The sequence below is a fragment of the Homo sapiens genome, chromosome 4, assembly GCF_000001405.40.
Source record: "Homo sapiens chromosome 4, GRCh38.p14 Primary Assembly".
Lineage (NCBI taxonomy): Eukaryota > Metazoa > Chordata > Mammalia > Primates > Hominidae > Homo > Homo sapiens.
In genome coordinates this window covers 100510477-100530376 of record NC_000004.12, presented here as the reverse complement: position 1 = coordinate 100530376, position 19900 = coordinate 100510477, and the positions used below count along the sequence as shown (strand labels likewise).

Here is a 19900-nt window from a genome sequence, read left to right as displayed (position 1 = left end):
AAGGTAGATAAAACCACAAAGATAGGGAGAAACCAGAACAGAAAAGCTGAAGATTCTAAAAACCACAGAGCCTCTTTTCCTCCAAAGGATCACAGCTACTCACCAGCAACAGAATAAAGCTGGATGGAGAATGACTTTGATGATCTGACAGAAGTAGGCTTCAGAAGGTCGGTAATAACAAACGTCTCTGAGCTAAAGGAGGATGTTGGAACCCATTGCAAGGAAGCTAAAAACCTTGAAAAAAGATTAGACGAATGGCTAACTAGAATAAACATGTAGAGAAGACCTTAAGTGATCTGATGGAGCTGAAAACCATGGCACGAGAACTACGTGACACATGCACAAGCTTCAATAGCTGATTTGATCAATTGGAAGAAAGAGTATCAGTGATTGAAGATCAAATTAATAAAATAAAATGAGAAGTTTAGAGAAAAAAGAGTAAAAAGAAATGAACAAAGCCCCCAAGAAAGATGGGACAATGTGAAAAGACCAAATCTACATTTGATTGGTGTACCTGAAGGTGACGGGGAGAATGGAACCAAGTTGGAAAACACTCCGCAGGATATTATCCCGGAGAATTTCCCCAACCTAGCAAAGCAGGCCAACATTCAAATTCAGGAAATAGAGAGAGCACCACAAAAATACTCCTTGAGAAGAGCAACCCCAAGACAAATAATTGTCAGATTCACCAAGGTTGAAATGAAGGAAAAAAATTGTTAAGGGCAGCCAGAGAGAAAGGTTGGGTTACCCACAAAGGGAAGCCCAGCAGACTAACAGCAGATCTCTCAGCAGAAACTCTGCAAGCCAGAAGAGAGTGGGGGCCAATATTCAACATTCTTAAAGAAAAGAATTTTCAACCCAGAATTTTATATCCAGCCAAACTGAGCTTCATAAGTGAAGGAGAAATAAAATCCTTTACAGACAAGCAAATGATGAGAGATTTTGTTAACATCAGGCCTGCCTTACAAGAGCTCCTGAAGGAAGCACTAAACATGGAAAGGAACAACTAGTACCAGCCGCTGAAAAAACATGCCAAATTGTAAAGACCATCAATGCTAGGAAGAAACTGCATCAACTAATGAGCAAAATAACCAGCTAACATCATAATGACAGGATCAAATTCACACATAACAATATTAACCTTAAATGTAAATGGGCTAAATTACCCAAATAAAAGACACAGACTGGCAAATTGGATAAAGAGTCAAGACCCATCAGTGTGCTGTATTCAGGAGACCCATCTCATGTGCAGAGACACACATAGGCTCAAAATAAAGGGATGGAGGAAGATCTACCAAGGAAATGGAAAGCAAAAAAAAAAAAGAAAAAAAAGCAGGAGTTGCAATCTTAGTTTCTGATAAAACTGACTTTAAACCAACAAAGATCAAAAGAGACAAAGAAGGCCACTACATAATGGTAAAGGGATCAATTCAACAAGAAGATATAACTATCCTAAATATATATATGCACCCAATACAGGAGCACCCAGATTCATAAAGCAAGTCCTTAGAGACTTAGACTCCCACACAATAATAATGTGACACTTTAACACCCCACTCTCAATATTAGACAGATCAATGAGACAGGATGTTAACAAGGATATCCAGGACTGGAACTCAGCTCTGCACCAAGCTGACCTAATAGACATCTACGGAACTCTCCACCCCAAATCAACAGAATATACATTCTTCTCAGCACCATATTGCACTTATTCCAAAATTGACCACATAGTTGGAAGTAAAGCACTCTTCAGCAAATGTAAAAGAACAAAAATCACAACAAACTGTCTCTCACAGCACAGTGCAATCAAATTAGAACTCAGGATTAAGAAACTCACTCAAAACCGCTCAACTACATGGAAACTGAACAACCTGCTCCTGAATGACTACGAGGTAAATAACAAAATAAAGACAGAAATAAAGATGTTCTTTGAAACCAATGAGAACAACGACACAGCATACCAGAATCTCTGGGACACATTTAAAACAGTGTGTAAAGGGAAATTTATAGCACAAATGCCCACAGGAGAAAGCAGGAAAGATCTAAAATCAACACCCTAACATCACAATTAAAAGAACTAGAGAAGCAAGGGCAAACAAATTCAAAAGCTAGCAGAAGGCAAGAAATAACTAAGAACAGAGCAGAACTGAACAAGATAGAGACACAAAAAACCCTTCAAAAAATCAGTGAATCCAGGTGCTGGTTTATTTATTTATGCAGCCAACAGACACATGAAAAAATGCTCATCATCACTGGTCATCAGAGAAATGCAAATGAAATCCACAATGAGATACCATCTCACACCAGTTAGAATGGCGATCCTTAAAAGGTCAGGAAACAATGGATGCTGGAGAGGATGTGGAGAAATAGGAAGGCTTTTACACTGTTTGTGGGAGTGTAAACTAGTTCAACCATTGTGGAAGACAGTGTGGCGATTCCTCAAGGATCTAGAACTTGAAATACCATTTGAACCAGTGATCCCATTACTGGGTATATACCCAAAGGATTATAAATCATGCTACTATAAAGACACATGCACATGTATGTTTATTGCAGCACTATTCACAATAGCAAAAACTTGGAACCAACCCAAATGTCCATCAATGAAAGACTGGATTAAGAAAATGTGGCACGTATACACGATGGAATTCTATGCAGCCATAGAAAAGGATGAGTTCATGTCCTTTGCAGGGACATGGATGCAGCTGGAAACCATCATTCTGAGCAAACTATCACAAGGACAGAAAACCAAACACCACATGTTCTCACTCATAGGTGGGAACTGAACAATGAGAACGCTTAGACACTGGGCAGAGAACATCACACCCTGGGTTCTGTCGTGGGGTGGGGGGAGGCTGGAGGGATACCATTAGGAGAAATATCTAATGTAAATGACAAGTTAATGGGTGCAGCACACCAACATGGCACATGTATACCTAAGTAACAAAACTGCATGTTGTGCATATGTACCCTAGATCTTAAAGTATAATAATAAAAAATAAATATATAAAATACTTATTTTGGGAAAAAATGAAGAAAAGAGAGCAATGTGTTCTATACAATACCGTAGATAATGAAATTTAGAAATTTCTTTTTGTGACAGAATCAACAAGAACAACAGCAACTACAACAAAAATAGAGATGCCATCCGGTGACATATAAAGACGGATTCCATAGAGAGATGACTTGGTTGGGTCACAATGGATCAGACTCTAGCTTTCAATTTAATAAGATCAGAAACTCAGATTTATCAGCTGTGGAGTATTAAACAAAACTAGTTATATTCAGAAGAGACTGGTTGTATAGAAACACAAATTTTAACTTATTAATTTAAACAGCATAATTACTGCTAAGGTGATGGATCAGCAGGCTATTTTTTCAAGAGGAGAATTCTACTTGGGTAGCAAACTTATAATTAGGAATTTTTTTGACAGCATGAAATAAAACATGGTATTAGAATTAAACTTATTGGACAGAATGCCTTTATAATGGAATCACACCTTGATCACTGTGTCTCAAACTTGAACATTCACAAAAATATCTCAAATAGAAAGAAAAAGCTTTTCCTAAAAGTTTTTAGAAAAACACTGAGAATACAACCATTTTCCTTCAAGAGTTAGAGGTATTTTATTCTTGTTCTATAAATCAGGATGCAAATATAATAAGATTCAAAAGGGAATTTATGAATGATAATTACAGGCAATTTGGAATGTTTGGAATTTAGGGCTCAAATCATAAGAAATAATTTTCTCTCCCATAGCCTGGACTCATTTCCATTTGAAAAGATCAAGCCAGGTTTAATTAGTTATGAGTTGGCCATATAAATAACATTTATAATTTCATATAAACTGGTAAAAATTATGTAAAAGTGAATTTCTGAAATATTGTCACTGCTTCTAAAAATCTGAATATGCTGATGTTAAGAAGGCTTGATAGGAGTCAATTAGGAACACTTAAAGAATCCTAAAGTGAATGCCTTCTGCATGGATGTCAGCAGTGAAGACCAAGAAATGCTGCTGCTACCTTTTAAATAGTCAGAAGCACACTTAAAAATACATATATATACATATATATTTATTATGTATAAAAGTATATATACATAATATATATATATATTTTTGTGTGCGTATATATATATACACACTTTATAATGGTCTAAGTCAGTAATTATTAACTAAGGGTGACCATCAGAATCACTGGTGGATTTTTTTTCTCATATACGTGCCTGGCCTCTACTCTGTACTTTCTAAATAGAAATTTCATGGGTGAGGCTTAAACATACATGTTTTTGAAAAGCTCCATGGGGTAATTCTGATACTAAGATTTGAGGTTAAACATGGGCAAAACTGCCAGTGTTATAGTGTTAGGACAGGATATCAGAATTCAAAACCTAATGGGACAGGAAATTTGGATTCTATGATTGGAAATGTGCTCAGATGCAGCACTCATCTGCTTGTGAAAGCCATTACTATGTCATTTCCTCTGACCAAAGGCTGGATTTGAAAGAATGGGTTGGGTTGGGTCCCAGCTTTGTTGTTCATCCAAGATGTTTTTATGTTTAGTTATATATAAGGGATGGGAAATTACTAAGCCAGTGCTAGTTTAATAAAGTTGAAAACATTTGTAAATAGCTTTATTTGGTGATGAAATGAAAATAATTTATTTCGAGAAGTTGGATGGAAAATCAATTTGCATTTTACTAAAATTGTTTGCATTCTAGCAAGGCAGGGAATTTGATAATGGCCATGTTTTTAATTATTAACACCCTGTTTCTAAGTTCCTGAGATTTCAGGCCAGCCCAAGAATCAAGACAGAGATGGCAAGATCTGAACCTGAGGGGGGATTGAAAACAAAAGCCTGGATGTGAAACAGAAGTTAAAAGCCAAAAAGTGATCCATGAGCTTTCAACTGGGTCAGTGAGGCTGCAATTACATTTTATTGCTAAATGGAGCAGGTGATTGGGGGAAAGTTAGTAGAAAACAGAACCCAGTAAGATCTTCCATAAGGTTGAGGTCAGAGCTGAGAAGTTAATCTATTTTATTTAAAAAGTTAATTATTTTGTGTCAGGCTAAAACTAGGGGGATAAATGACTGAGACAAACTTCTGTCATTGAAAAATTTACTATCTAGTGTGGAAGGCTGATAATGTCGGAAAAGTGTGACCAATTCAGTCTTAATTTCATCAATTAAGATTCTTGACCAGGCGCGGTGGTCCCGTCTGTAATCCTAGCACTTTGGGAGGCAGAAGGTGGGAGGATCACCTGAAGTGAGGAGTTTGAGACCAGCCTGGCTAACATGGTAAAACTCTGTTTCTACTAAAAATACAAAAAATTAACTGCGCATGGTGATGCATGCCTGTAATCTCAGGTACTCAGGAGGCTGAGGCAGGAGAACCACTTGAACTCGGGAGGCAGAGGTTGCAGTGAGCTGAGATCGTGCCATTGCACTCCAGCTTGGGCAACAAGAGAGAAACTCCGTCTCAAAAACATTTTCAAGAGAAGGTAATAAGAACTTTTACTGGTCAGGAAAGGCTATGCTATGCTTCAATAACAAAATAAACTTGAAATCTCTAGGGTTTTTATAATTTTTGGTTTTATATTTAAGTCTTTAATCCATCTTGAGGTAATTTTTGTATAAAATGTAAGGAAGGGGTCCAGTTTCAGTTTTCTGCATATGGCTAGCCAGTTTTCCCAGCACCATTTTTTAAATAGGGAATCCTTTCCCCCATGCTTTTTTTTTTTTTTTGTCAGGTTTGTCTAAGATCAGATGATTGTAGATGTGCAGTCTTATTTCTGAGATCTCTATTCTTTTCCATTGGTCTATGCATGTGTTTTTATACCACTACCATGCTGTTTAGGTTACTGTAGCCTTGTGGTATAGTTTGAAGTCAGGTAGTTTGATGCCTCAAGCTTATCAGAATAAACGGCTAATGTATGAGGGGCTTAATACCTAGGTGATAAGTTGATAGGTGCAGCAAACCACCATGGCACACGTTTACCTATGCAACAAACCTGCACATCCTGGACATGTATCCTGGAACTTAAAATTAAATTAAATTAAATTAAAAAATAAATCTCAGTGGCCTAATTCAATAAATGTTTATGTGTTGCTCATCCAAATTACAGTAGATTTGTGGTCAGGGTTGGAGAGCTTTCCTCTACAGTCACTCAGGGACTCAGACTGCACCATCGGGAATACAGGATATCAAAGGTCACATGAACAAGAAATAGAAAACATAAAGTACGCATATCTGCTCTTCTATGCATTGTACTATAAGTGACACATGTAATTTTGCTTAAAGCCCCTGCCAGAACTAGTCACATGGGCCTACCTAATACAGATAATTAGTCATTCAGTAAGCAGTAGAACTCTTCACCACAGATGTAAGTCAGTTTTGACAAGAGTATTGGGGAAAAGGTGTAGAACATTATCATTTGTGAAATGTCTCCACAGGAGAGCAGAACGTTGATGTGAGATACAGTACCCAAAGACAACATCAAACTAAACTACCAATAGGTAGAGGCCATTCTGAAGGGTATAGGCTGGGCTAAAAGAATCCTAGAAGAGAGTAACTAAAGAGGATTGGGAATGAAATATAGGCAAAGAGCAAGAAGCAGTTTCTTGAATCCCTGAGGATTAGTCCAGGAGCCATTAGTAAGGTAACTCCTTCACTGAGTTATGTGTAGGAAGGGTTTGTTATGAGGAATAAACCAGTGCAGACACTCCATTTCTATTATAACTTAAAATTTACATGTTTCTATGAATACCAGAACACTTGAAAATACCAGAATACTCTTTTCGTTTGCAAAAAAGAAAAAAAAATACATTTTTTAAACAATTAACTTCATCTTTCATTGCTCTGGAAGTTAGGAAGTGAAAAAGAAATATATCGTACTTTTAAGTTGATTCAGATCTGGTCCTGTGAAAGTTTCCTTTGATTATTACACAGAGCCAGACAATGCAAAAGGGGACTTGGCAAACTGAAAACAAGAACTGAATGGGTGGACAAAAGGATTATTTAAAATATAATCATAGATAAATTAATCAAGCTAGACAGAGGATGCATATGGTAGAACATGAATTGCATTTAGGTGTCACACACTTAAATGTCACATTTTTGTATGAACATGCATGTAAAAATTCCTGGCATATGCCAGACACCCAATAATTTTTTAATAGGTGCCATACAAGAGAAGAATATTTCTGTAAGTTGCTATTCCTAGAATACCAAAAATGGGACATCGAGCAGAACTCTTGGACATGAAGTTCATGGCTGGCAATAGGTAAGCTATATGGAAAGTTGAACAAACTGTTGAAGAACTTTACAGTTGCCTTGTTATTCAGAATTTATTTATATATTCCAGAATTCCAAAGAAATAATCATCTCAATTCTTCATTACATACAATTAAGATTGATTATTGATGTATTAATATATACTAGGAATTATAAACTTCTTGGAAAAATCTTATTTTTCCTATTATGATTTACATAATTAATGAAAATTATCCTCTGCAGCTCAGTTTGTATAGGAAGAATTCATTTATGACAGTGATTTCCAGAGCTTCTTAAGGCAGATGAGTATGAAAGAATGGTACTTGGACTTTTTAAAAAAGAGAGTTGTCCAGTAGGACAATGGACTGCCTGACAGAGTAATGAGCCTCAATCATTTCATCTGTTAGCATGGAGGCTCACTCAGCATTTGCAGGGGTGTTCCTGTGTTAGGACAAATTCGTACTAAATTAACTTTTCGTATGTCTCATCTCTGAGCCACTGTGGTTTTATAATTTCCCTGTATTCATGTCCTTATATATCAAGAGACTTATTCAAGGTTAGGGAGTTGATGTGAGGTATGAGAATCATCTTTACATGCTGAGGAGTAAAACTGGGATGGACAGTTGGAGAATGTGAGAGATAAGCTCTTGAGAAACTTCAAGAATCAATTTGCTATGATGCTTTCTTTTCACATAAGCAATAACAAAATACCATTGGACCTGGGTCACTGGGAGTTGATTAATAGGAATGTGGTAGGTGAGAAAGATAGTGATTTTACTGGCATAAGTTTGGCCAAATGGCTGGGCCCTCCCACTGTTGATGTTCATTATCCATTTTGGCCCTGAGGAAGGGAGACTTAATATCTCCACAATCATGGGCTCTAAATATCTCTTTGGTTTCAGCTCTGTTCCCACTAATCTTTAGGAGATCACCCAATTCCCATTTCAAATAGGCAAGTAACAAAAATAAGCTGTTTGATTGCATCTCCATTGAAGAAAGCACTTGATATTTAAAGTACCTTGAAGTAGAGCATAGAACAAATTCCTGATAATAAGAGTTGGGATTCTGTATAATCAGTTTAAACCAATATTTTGGGACTCTCATCATCTGAATATTTCTTAGGACATTTCTTAATCACTCTAGAATATGATGGTTTATATAAAATCCTAACAACTGAAAGATTCTAGAAGTTTAAGGTTAGTAGGTTTTTTTCTGTTTTTTGTTTTGTTTTGTTTTAATATGTACTTTTAGAAGACTTTCTGGAATCTCACTTAGTCCTCTAAACCACATTAGAAAGTTGGCATGATGTTTATCCTATTTTTCTGTGGGGAAGCTAAGCATGGAGAGGCCAAATAGCTCAGCATAGAGGGGCCAAATAGCTCAGTAAGTCACATAAAACTAAGGCAGAGACAGGATTTGAACTCAAGATCATGCTCTTTGCCAGTTCATGAAATTACTTCTTGGCTTTCCTCTCATTTTAGATAATTTTATTCAGGGTAATGAGCTGGCTAAGAGGAAGAAGGCAAGTATGGAAAGGGAGTTTAATTTGGGGCCCTAGTAATGGTGCTATCTGAATAAATCTTTTCAGTGCCACATAAGCTAACATAAATCATGAGTGTTGGAGTCTTCATTATACAATTTCTTCAGTGTCAAAGATGTCAATGACAGGCCTTGATATGCATTTGGAAAGAATTATGAGATTGCTCTTGCATGACCTCCTAGCAGCTACTTTTTCTTTCAGCAAGCAATTCGGAAGATGAATTGTGAAAAAGAAACAAACAACAACAACAACAAATTAAAGAGCAAAGACATGTTTTCATCTCTCAGGTTAGAGTGGTTCAGTTCTCTTCACATATTTTCTTCTATTAAAGTGCTTTTAAATTATACACTTCCTAATAATGAAAACATTCCAGCAGGTTAGAATACAAAATGTTTAATAAATATATGTATAAATATACACTCAAAACATTAAATTAAACAAAATGTATCAGGTCAAGAGAAATGTTTTTGTTGTTAAGAGGTAAAAACAATATGTGTTTAATCTGGAAGATCTTTTCATGGAAAATTTAAAAATGTGACAGAAACTACCCATAATTCATTTCAGAAGATAAGCAATATTAACATTTTGTATCTTACTCTCTCTTGCTCTGTATGTGTATGTATGTATATGTGTATTTACATATACACACATATACATGTATATACATATATACACATTTACATGTATATACATATATACATGTACATTCACATATATAAATGATAAGCATATGCATATATATGCATATATACATGCAACAAAGTGTCATGAATATATTTCCACATCTATGAAAAGTTATCTAATTAGTATTTTGTGGCAGAACAATATTCTTCCTCAATAATTAATGTTTTGACAAATTTTTGTAATTACATGGACTTCAATGAATATCTTCATTTTTAGAATAAGTTCCTAAACATATAATTTTGCAAGCTCAGAGTGTGGTTCTTTAACAGTTTTGATGTATATTGCCTAGTCACATCTCAGAAAGGTCATACCCCAAGAATAAGATAGTTACTTTATTTGAACATTTATCAAAAATGAGTACTGTCATAAACTATACCTAATTATATATAAAAGGCAAAACACGTTGTTGCGATGTTGGGATATTCGTTTCTTTGGTCTCTGGTGTGATGAATACAGTTTTGGATTTTACTGGCCCTCCATTTCTTGCGAGACATTTTTTTGCCGTTTTTCAGTTGTAGAGTCATTGCTTTTTAGATCAGAAGTTATTTTTTAAGATAACTTATCATGTACTGTTACAAAATTTTTTATTTGCCTTTTAAATTCATGGTATGTTATGCCAAAAATCTTTTAATTTTTGTGTAAGCAAATGTATGAAGTCTTTCTTTTATGTGCTTTGCCTTTAGTGTCATGCATAAAATGTCCCCTTTACCTCAATTATATATAGTAGCCCATATTCTCTCCTAGAATTTTGTGCTTTGTATTTTAAACTTAAACCTTTAACATATAAGATTAACATGTAAGATTTGGTATTTTAAGTAAAACAGACACTTAATTTTAAAATTTTCTTAGATGGTTAACACATTGTCAAAAAAATCCCACAGTAAATATATACCCTATTCATCACAGTCACTACATGTTAAACTCACCTATATTTAATCTCTCTCTCTATATATACATGCATATACACACAAGCATGCATATGCAAACACATATCTGTAAATATATCTGCGTGTATATTTATGTAGATAGAAACAAATATAAATATTTCTGTGTCTGTACTTTCTATTCTATGCCACTGATCTGTTTGTCTCCTCTGGCAATCATTGCTGTTTTAATTAAATATTTTACCTTAAAAATATCTTCTGATTTAGTAAAGCAAGGCTGACCCCTCCCCTCATTATTACTCCTTTTTTTTTTTTCTTTTCTGTTCTTATATTCTAAATTTTTTTTGGCTAGCATTTTAAGATGTTTCTTAGTTTTTGTTTTTCATCAACAGGCCCTTTGTCTTTTAAGTAGCCTTAATATTCTACTGTCAAGCATTCTTAGAATAGGTATCTAGTGTACTAAATGGAAATGCATAGCACTTAGTGCTGAGGAGTCCAAATGCCATGGAATCCCTGAAGAAATTATTGTGACCAGCATCAGTGGTGACTCTGAGTACTGACAACTTGAGTACAGAAGGAGCAGGAAGTGAGGCAATGTGAGGGTTCGACTGTGATTTCACATGGCCACACCCCAATTTATTTATGGAAAGTGCATGTGACATCTATTCACATATGTTCCTATCTTTATATTCTCCAGGATATGCCAAATAAAGTAACAACGCCAAAGGCAGTCTGTTTTAGAAAATCAATTAGAAGAGGGTAAAATGCAATCTTATGCACAAAATAGAAACTTAGCTCTTCTGACCCCTGGTATAACGTTGGATAAAACAAGCTAACGTTTTTAAGTGTTTTGAGCAGTTGACTCAGTCTAACTCGTTTTGTATGAAGTATTTTCCAGCATGGTGCAGCAGTGAAACTGTGTGCCCTTCTTGCAAACAGGTAAAGGTATAATTTTTGAACAGTTTTTGTTTTTTTGTTTGTTTGTTTTTTTTGTGGGGAAAATGAATCTACACCGATTCATTGACAATGTTGTCCAGTAAAGCCTCATGAGTAAAGGTACGTAAAAGGATGATCAGCTAAAATGAGACATGAAGCCTGTGGCTGAAGAAAAATATAATGTCATTGGCACACACGGGGCTTGTACCCAGGACTATGGCAGTGTTATCACCACGTTTTAATCAGTCACAACTGACATCAACGTGACCCCTGCTATATAGATTATCCAGCCTGGTTGGCATTCCAGTCTTAAAGAGTCAACCTCTCCCAGCTTCACTGATGTGTGATGGCATTTCACCCACTGCCATTCCAACCCTGTCCCCTAAAGAAGAGCATTCATGAGGTGTTATAAGTAATTGTTCCTTATTCATCATCAAAGTTCTTTAGTAAAAACCAGGAGTGACCAATAGACATTCACATGTCTTTGCTTAATTCTATTAAAAAAGACTGAAAAACTTCTCTGTACACCCTTTGGAAGTCTTTTTGCTTACTCAAGAGCAGAGCATAATCTATTTAATACAATTTTTCACTTATATCCAAAAGGTGGCCTTCTCTAATCTGGCTTTCAAGTTGGAAAGAGAAAAGTTAAGTTGATTCCTGATGGATTTTGCTCTAAAATTTAACCCTCGGGCAGTGAAAGCCTCTTTATCCCAACTGAGTAGCTGCTAAATGAGGCCCCTTTATAACCACTTCAGAATGCACTTTCAAAACAAAAGTTAGAAGGCCCTATGATCCATTCTCAAGAAGGATCTGTTTCTGTTCAAAACCAGTCCCGACCTTTCTGTTGAAGAAGAACAAAATAATGTAGTAACAAAAACACAAGTGGCTGCCAAAGGAAGAGAGAGAAAAAAAAAGAGTTCCTGTAAGGGACTGAAACAATAAATCTCCTCTCTGCTGAACTCCCAAAGGGAGTGTGTGTATTTCCTCCCGTTCTTTATCAGAGCCCCCAAAATAAGTAGGAATGGGCAGTGGCTATTCACATTCACTACACCTTTTCCATTTGCTAATAAGGCCCTGCCAGGCTGGGAGGGAATTGTCCCTGCCTGCTTCTGGAGAAAGAAGATATTGACACCATCTACGGGCACCATGGAACTGCTTCAAGTGACCATTCTTTTTCTTCTGCCCAGTATTTGCAGCAGTAACAGCACAGGTATTTTTGTCTCTTATTCCTCTGGTGGTACGGATTGGAAATCACTAGTAGGTGACTCAGCCTCAGTTTACTTTCAGGGATCTTCCCCTGACACTTAGATGCAGCAATTCCTTTGATGAGTTGAGTGTTTGGATGTTGACTTGGAGTGCGTGGAGAAGGCTTGAGAGAGACGGTATTTGTTTCTACTGAAGGGAAATGTTTGCGGGTACAGCAGCCTGAAAGCATGTTCGATGAAATCACAAAGTACTGGAAATATACAATGGCCTCTTTAGAGTATAAAAATCTGGGAATAGAATGCTGGTTAAAAATGTACTCTCTCTCAAAAATGTATTCTTTGCAGACATAGCTCAGAAATAATAAGATTGGCATGTGTGGGTGAAAGGCTGTAATCGGAGACATTATATTGCAGATGTTAGCCTGTATTTTTCCCAACTATTTTTCAGCTCTGATAAATTGAGGAGTTGAGTAAAGCTGCCTAGGGAAGTGAGTCCTAATATTTTGAGGTAGGGTGAATAGAGAGAGATTCATTTGATTACAGTCTATAGATTTTTGCTGAAGAAATATGCACATATCTAAACATATACATACATTTTGCATAACATTTCAGGAATTTATAAACATAAAAATCCTACCTATTGACTTCTGGTTAAGAAACTCAGATAAAAAATAGGTTTGTATCTTCATAAGCCTTGAGTATATCAATGGACAATTTCAAGAACGATTTACATTTGACTTTTAACCCTTCCTGAGTGATTGAAAATAAACTGTTAAATTTAATCAATATTTATTAGGTTCCTACCCTGTACTGCAAGGAATATAAAAACAAGTAAGACGTCCTTGCCCAAAGTGGTAGAAGTACTACTGGGAGAAATAAGCATGTGATTTTAATATAAAATAGATTTAATAAGTGTGAAAATTGAAGAACAAACTACCATAAAAGAACACAATTGGGAAAGACTGATTCAGACTCTGAGGGGTCTTGGGGGGAAAAAAACAAAAACATTCATTTCTAATTTTATTTTGCTCATTCTCAATTTAAAAGATTACTGCCTACAAAATCTTAATTTACAGTGATAATGTCGGAAGAAAATAAGTACATCCCTCCCTGAACAACATTTTATCAGTCATTTCTATGTAAATATCTATGTAAATTTAGTACAAATTCAAAAACACTTCAAATTCACGCACATTTGCTCATCATGCATCTTGGAGTTTCTGCGGTTAAGTTGCAGCTGGTATCAAGGCCAGAAAATTTCACTTAGAAGAGTTACTAGAATCTGATTTTTTAAAATAAAGAACATTTATGTGGTACCACAGAAATTATTGCATTAGCTTATAAGTAACTTCGGTCTGCTTGGGGAAGATTGATAGGAATCTCAATCCCATGGAAAATATTGCTCACAATTAGATGTGTCAGATTAGTATAAAGTCTGAAAGTCTGGCTTAGCCTGCTCGCTGCTCCAGGTCTGCAAGCATCGACGAGTGCAATACTTTGCCGGCATTGTTAAACTCTGAATAGATCATTCGTTCTTCCGAAAGTAAAGTGGAATAGCATCAATAGAAGTAGCCTGCAATACCTGGCCTTAAGAAAGACATGAAGATGAAGGACAATCCAGAGATGTACTGGCAGGTTTTTCTGTTATGGTCATTTTGGGAAAATACAAACCTCCTTTTGCTCACTGGTAATGAGCTCAACCTGTTAACAGTTCTTCTTTCTAATGAACTGTTAACCCCTGTAGGATAATTTCCATTTGAGCAGAGACAATAGTTACATAATAACTATCTCCTTCAAGTCAGCCAACAAGTCTACTTGTTAACTGAAGGCCAGTATCTGTAAACAAACAAACAAACCAAACCTACTCCATTTGTCTTAGAGAGGAGGCTATGCTCAAGAGTATAAATTGACCATTTGAGTGGAGCATGAAAGGATTGGAAGATAATTTCCCATCTACATGTATGATTTTGTTGTACCTGGTTCTGCCTGTTTTTTTGTTTGTTTGTTTGTTTGTTTGTTTTTGCAGATTGGGCACAGGGAAGAAAGCATTTCCTAAGCTGACTGAGTACCTTTATTTTTCCTTAACCCCTAGTTCCAGATACACATTTGATTTCAGAGTTTTACATGTTCCTCAAACTTAGGAATGATTAACATATTTCATCAGCAAAGTTGATTCTTGGGGGTGAGGAGGGAGGCATTTCATCTGCCTTAAATTCACAAGCTGTCAAGCAGATCCATGCTCTTTTGCGTAGTAATTTATTCCTAAATAATTATCTTTTAGATAAATTGACTACTTTTCTTTTCTTCTGATGTTTTTGTCAGTCTCAGATTTAAATAACTACAATACAGTCTTTCATGCTGTTTGTGAAAATCAAGGGAATCTTTCTACATCACAGTCAGTGAGTTACTTTTTATTACTTGGTTGGTGGTATAATATTTTTTCAGTCTCCAATTTGGAAAGCTGTTCTATTGAAATGTGTATGGAAGGTTTCTGAAACGGAACTGCCATTCTTTCTTAAGGTTTTCTAAATTGTATTTAAAACTGAACAGACCCCTACCCTGGCGTTTAAATCTAGATGTATGGATGAGCTTTTGACTTTCAGGGCTGAGAGAAGTTAATGAAGAGAGATTCCTCCAAGAAGAAGGAAACAATATGCACTTACTCATCAAGTGCCACTTGCTTTTTGAAATTTGCCTTAACTTGGGAAATATTAAAATGTTGTAGGCATTCTCAGACAGGGACAAACACCATTTTCTTTATTGGTATATGAAGAAGGATTTAATTGCTTGGAGAAATTCCTTTGTTAGTGATTGAACATTCAATTTCATGAAAAAGAAAGATTAAACACACTATCAGCAGACTCCATGCTAAATATCGTAAGTTTATAGAACTTAATAAAAGTTAACCCTCACCGTAGAAGTGGGGGAGAGAGGAAGATGAGGGAAGTTATTATCAATTTGGCTATATTGTAGGCTTTAAGAGGTAAATAAAGAATGACATAGAAAATTTACAACTAGCCTGGTTTTGGATGTAAGGACATCTGAAACGGCTACATATAAAAGTGGAAATTATTATAAGCTTTGAAGCTTGAAAATCAAGAGGTTCTAGAGGAAGGGAATTTATTGAGTAGATACATTGAAACATTGGTATATTCTAGTCTAGAAACATAAAGAGGTCACAATTTGGGCATAGTTAAGTACTGAGAAATAAGATTGGAATATAGCCTCAGGAGATATTGAATACCAGGATGAGAAATATTGACTCATATAGTTAATTAGTTTGAGTCTGTAAATGGTTTGAGTATGGGAATTATATGATCATGGCTATAAAATGGGAAGACTAATCTGTCAGCAGAATATAGATTAGACTACTGGAGTCAAGAGAAATAAAAGGTAAGGAAACTAGGTCAACTGTCATTGCAAGTCTGAGAGTGTGTCAATAAAATGAAAAGAAGGGTCTAGGAAGAGCTTTAAGGAAGTAGAAAGTGTGTGATTTGACATATCATTGACTGGCAGTGAAGGAGAATGTGACTGAAATGCAGAGACAGAGTTTTTTTTAATACCAGAAATAGGAAAATGGCTTGGGAGCAGAGATTAGGAAAGATATGAGGAGACGGTTTAGTGAGAAAAATGGTATTTGGTTTTGGACATGGTGATTTTGTAATCCTGATATTTATGTAGAGATGTTCAATGGTAAATTAAAAGTGTCTGATGCGTAGTCGGTATGCCCCTGGAGCCAGAGGTGATGTTGAGAGGTGAATGTTCTTTAGTCCTGAATCCAAATATTTCTTAATCTTGCCCATTGTAACATTAATAACATAGAGAAGCAATTTATCCTTCTTCTGGATGCCCGTATATCTAACTCTCCTAAGGTACTTATTTCCAATTCTGTCATAGTTATTTGCATGAATGTCTTATTTCTCTACAAGATTATAAGTGCCTTGAAAGTAAGGGCTATATTTGTTACAGATTGCTCAGCAACAGTTCTGAACACATAATAAGGACATAGTTGTCTGAATGAATGGATAATTGAATGAAATAGTTGCCTTCTTATTATTTTCATATTTTAATTTCTTCCTATGACAATCACCTAATAGTTTACTATCTTGTCCTTATGAAAAAGTTATGGACAAGTATGAATCAGAGAACATAATATAGAAAAAAGTCGATTATTTTGATTTCAGTTATGAAAGTGAGCACCAAATATAAGGGAAAGGGATTCTTATCAAAGGTTAGCCAGCTCTCAAACTATAACCACTTTGGGGAAGAATATCTAAACAGAACCAGCTCTACTTATTTTTGGGTATCAAATACTCAATGTGATACATTCCTATAGTTAAAAGTATTCAAGGAGCTACCTTATTCTCAACCAACTTCTCAAAAATACAAAATGGCTTTTTTACAAGTGAAATTTACAGAAATAGAAGTTGGAGGAAAGTTAAAAAAAATCATACATCTTTATGCGTCATTACAGGTAACGTGAGTTGCTTCAGAGTAGATAATTTTGCTAAGTACTTCTGTTGAGCTTAATCCACACCAGTATCTCTTACCTGAAATGGGTAGTCTATTGTAGGAAGACTAAACCAATATAGAACAAATCCAAATGGAAAAGTATTTAGTCTGCAAACCATTTCTTTGCATTCTTTCTCCACTGCTGATTTTTAATAATCCCCACCTAAAAGTAGAAGTGATCATTCTAGAACTCCTACTTTCAAAAGATTTATAACAGTTGTCAGAAACAAATTCTCTGGCAATTTTATCTTGAAAATTGTAGTTATCCAGACAACTAAGAAAAAAATGAATATTTAAGGGTTTCACAAAGCTTTGAATTTACTAGACAACTGCCCATCCTTTCCTTTTCATTGGTGAAGTTACATTTCAAGCTGCAGCCAAATATTTTAACTTGTGAATAATTATCTAATTCAAGTTACTCACATTCTTTTTTTCTTAGTAATCACTTTCCAACTTCCTCTTTGTCTTTAAGAACAACATGAGATGCACGTTTCTAAATACTGAATGTCAGAGTAGGAATTTTTTTTTTTTTTTTTTGAGATGGAGTTTTGCTCTTGTTGCCCAGGCTGGAGTGCAACGGTATGATATTGGCTCACTGCAACTTCCGCATCCCGGGTTCAAGCGATTCTCCTGCCTCAGCCTCCCAAGTAGCTGGGATTACAGACACCCACCACCATGCCCAGCTAAATTTTTTTATTTTTAGTAGAGACAGGGTTTTACCATGCTGGCCAGACTGGTTGCGAACTCCTGACCTCAGGTGATCCACCTGCCTCGGTCTCCCAAAATGCTGGGATTACAGGCATGAGCCACCATGCCCAGCTCAGAATAGGAATTTAAGTAACTTTCAATTCCTGTGTACTGAATCCTTTCCAGCTACTGAATTCCTATCCATTATAGGTCTGTTAGCTTAGGCTAACAGTACCTTTTGACTGATAGAAGCAGCTCTCTCAGTTAGCAAACAAGATCCTTTTTGTACCATTGCACACCATGGGAAACATTAGTGGTGTCAATTACATCTAGAAAGGGCACTATATGGTTCCCAAATTTGGGGCAACCATAAGAAAAATAGATTTTTAAAACTTGAATAGAGGTTTCATATCCTATAGAATGATATATGTAGAGATAATCATAATTAGTCCCAAAGTAGAAGAAGTCACCGTATGAGCATTAGATTCCTGTTGTGTCTTTCCCTACATCTTCTCTGGCCACGTTTACTCCAGCCATTGCTATGGCAACCAGCTACGCACGGGTGTAACCTGACAGCCGCTTGCCTCACTTTAATGCATATATCCTGCTTTCTTTCTGGTGCTATTCTGTTATAAAGGTGCATTTCAGAATCTGGCATTATCAGATGCCTGAACTAGAAGTGCAGGAGCATTAGCATTCTATGAGACAGCTCCTGACAAAAGAGGGAATGGAGTCACTGAATACATAAATGCTTTTCTCTTATATTCCTGCTCCAGTTTCATTGTTTTAGTCCTTTTCTCCTCTTCCTATTTTTTTTTTTATAAACTGTCTGAACAGAAGCCCTTGTTTCAGGCTCTGCTATTTAGGAAAACCCAGGATTTATTATTTTTCTTGATGAGAACATTTTAGTTTAGATGGTAGTGTATATCTAAGTAAAGATTAGTTTTGGTTTCTCTGACACTCTCATTAATATGTACTACCCTTCTTCCTTTTCATTTCAAAGAAAATGAAATATCTTTGATCAATCTTTTGTTACATAAGCTTAACAATATTCTAAACAGATTCTGTTCTAAGGCAATTATTTGCCTGTTTGCAGTAATGAATTATACTGTGAGGTTAGTAGTAAAAAATGTTGATGTCATTGATTTTATTCTTTCTGTACTTCTCAACTGAAATGTGAACTGTTTTTTTAAATCCATTGAATCAGTCATACTCTAGCTGAAACCTGTATTAGTTGTGTCAAAGACTAGAGAATGGAGATCACAGTTGGGAACGGTCCAAGTTAACCCAAAGAAGTATTGTCACAACATCTACTAACATCTACCATTTATTGTGCCAGGCACTTTACACACATTACTTCCATCACAAATTTCAAGGCCAGCTTTATCCCATCTTACTGATTAAGAAACAGATGCTTGGAAATAGTATAAAGTTACACAAGGCTGGTGTGGCTTAAAATCAAAGCAAGGACTGTTGCTCTTCAGCTACCTTCTGATGTAGTGACACTTCAGTAAGTTGAGTTTTCTGAAAAAGAATAAGGATAAAGACTTACCGCTCGAGTAATTTAGAAGTCACTACTCCGCCTCACAGCAACTTCAGCCTTCTAAACTGACAACTAAGACTATAATGCCATAAATGAATTTTTACCTAGCAATAATGTTTTCTTAATATTCTGGATTCAATTAATTCTTAGGGGATGGGTTGGAAGGAGTTGTAGGCATTTGCCTACCAGTCATTGTTATGTTTGTTGAAAAAAACATGTACTTGGCTATAAATGTCAGTGAAGCTAATATGGGACTTGGAGAAGAAGGAAAGAAACAAAGAGGAAATAGCTATCAGTGAATTAATCACTTGGTGTCACGTTTATAATGCTTCTGGAGACAGATTGTCTGAGTTCAAGTTCCAGCTCTGCCACTTACTAGCTGTATAAACTTGGACAAGTTACTCAACTTTTGGCTTCCTCAGCTGTAAAATGGAGATGATTGCCTTATGTGGTTCTTGCAATATCTCTACAAGGAATTACCTCATAGGGATATTGGAAGAATCACACAAGGTAATATGCAGAAAGCACCCAGAATAGCGTCTGATATGAGATAAATGTTATATAAAGTTTTGCTGAGTTAATGGAACTCATATCCTGCACCGTAGATGAAATATTTTATTTCTAAGTTGATTCCAAT

At 35.8% G+C, this 19900-nt stretch overlaps 1 protein-coding gene and 1 long non-coding RNA gene across 5 annotated transcripts in view; one reads left to right on the top strand and one right to left on the bottom strand.

The window, feature by feature from the left end:
• The first annotated feature begins 12354 nt into the window (after nucleotides 1-12354).
• The window catches only part of EMCN (endomucin), a 122682-nt gene continuing 115136 nt past the window's right edge, over nucleotides 12355-19900 (top strand). For all 4 annotated transcript variants that reach the window (NM_001159694.2, NM_016242.4, XM_011532024.4 and 1 more), the window contains exon 1: nucleotides 12355-12526. In NM_001159694.2, coding sequence (NP_001153166.1) covers nucleotides 12463-12526 — 64 coding nt within the window. In that variant the 5' untranslated portion in view covers nucleotides 12355-12462. The remainder of the gene's footprint in view (nucleotides 12527-19900) is intronic.
• Nucleotides 19035-19900, bottom strand: part of LOC124900740 (uncharacterized) — an 89972-nt gene continuing 89106 nt past the window's right edge. The window contains exon 2 of the long non-coding RNA XR_007058203.1: nucleotides 19035-19244. This is a non-coding gene — a long non-coding RNA (uncharacterized LOC124900740). The remainder of the gene's footprint in view (nucleotides 19245-19900) is intronic.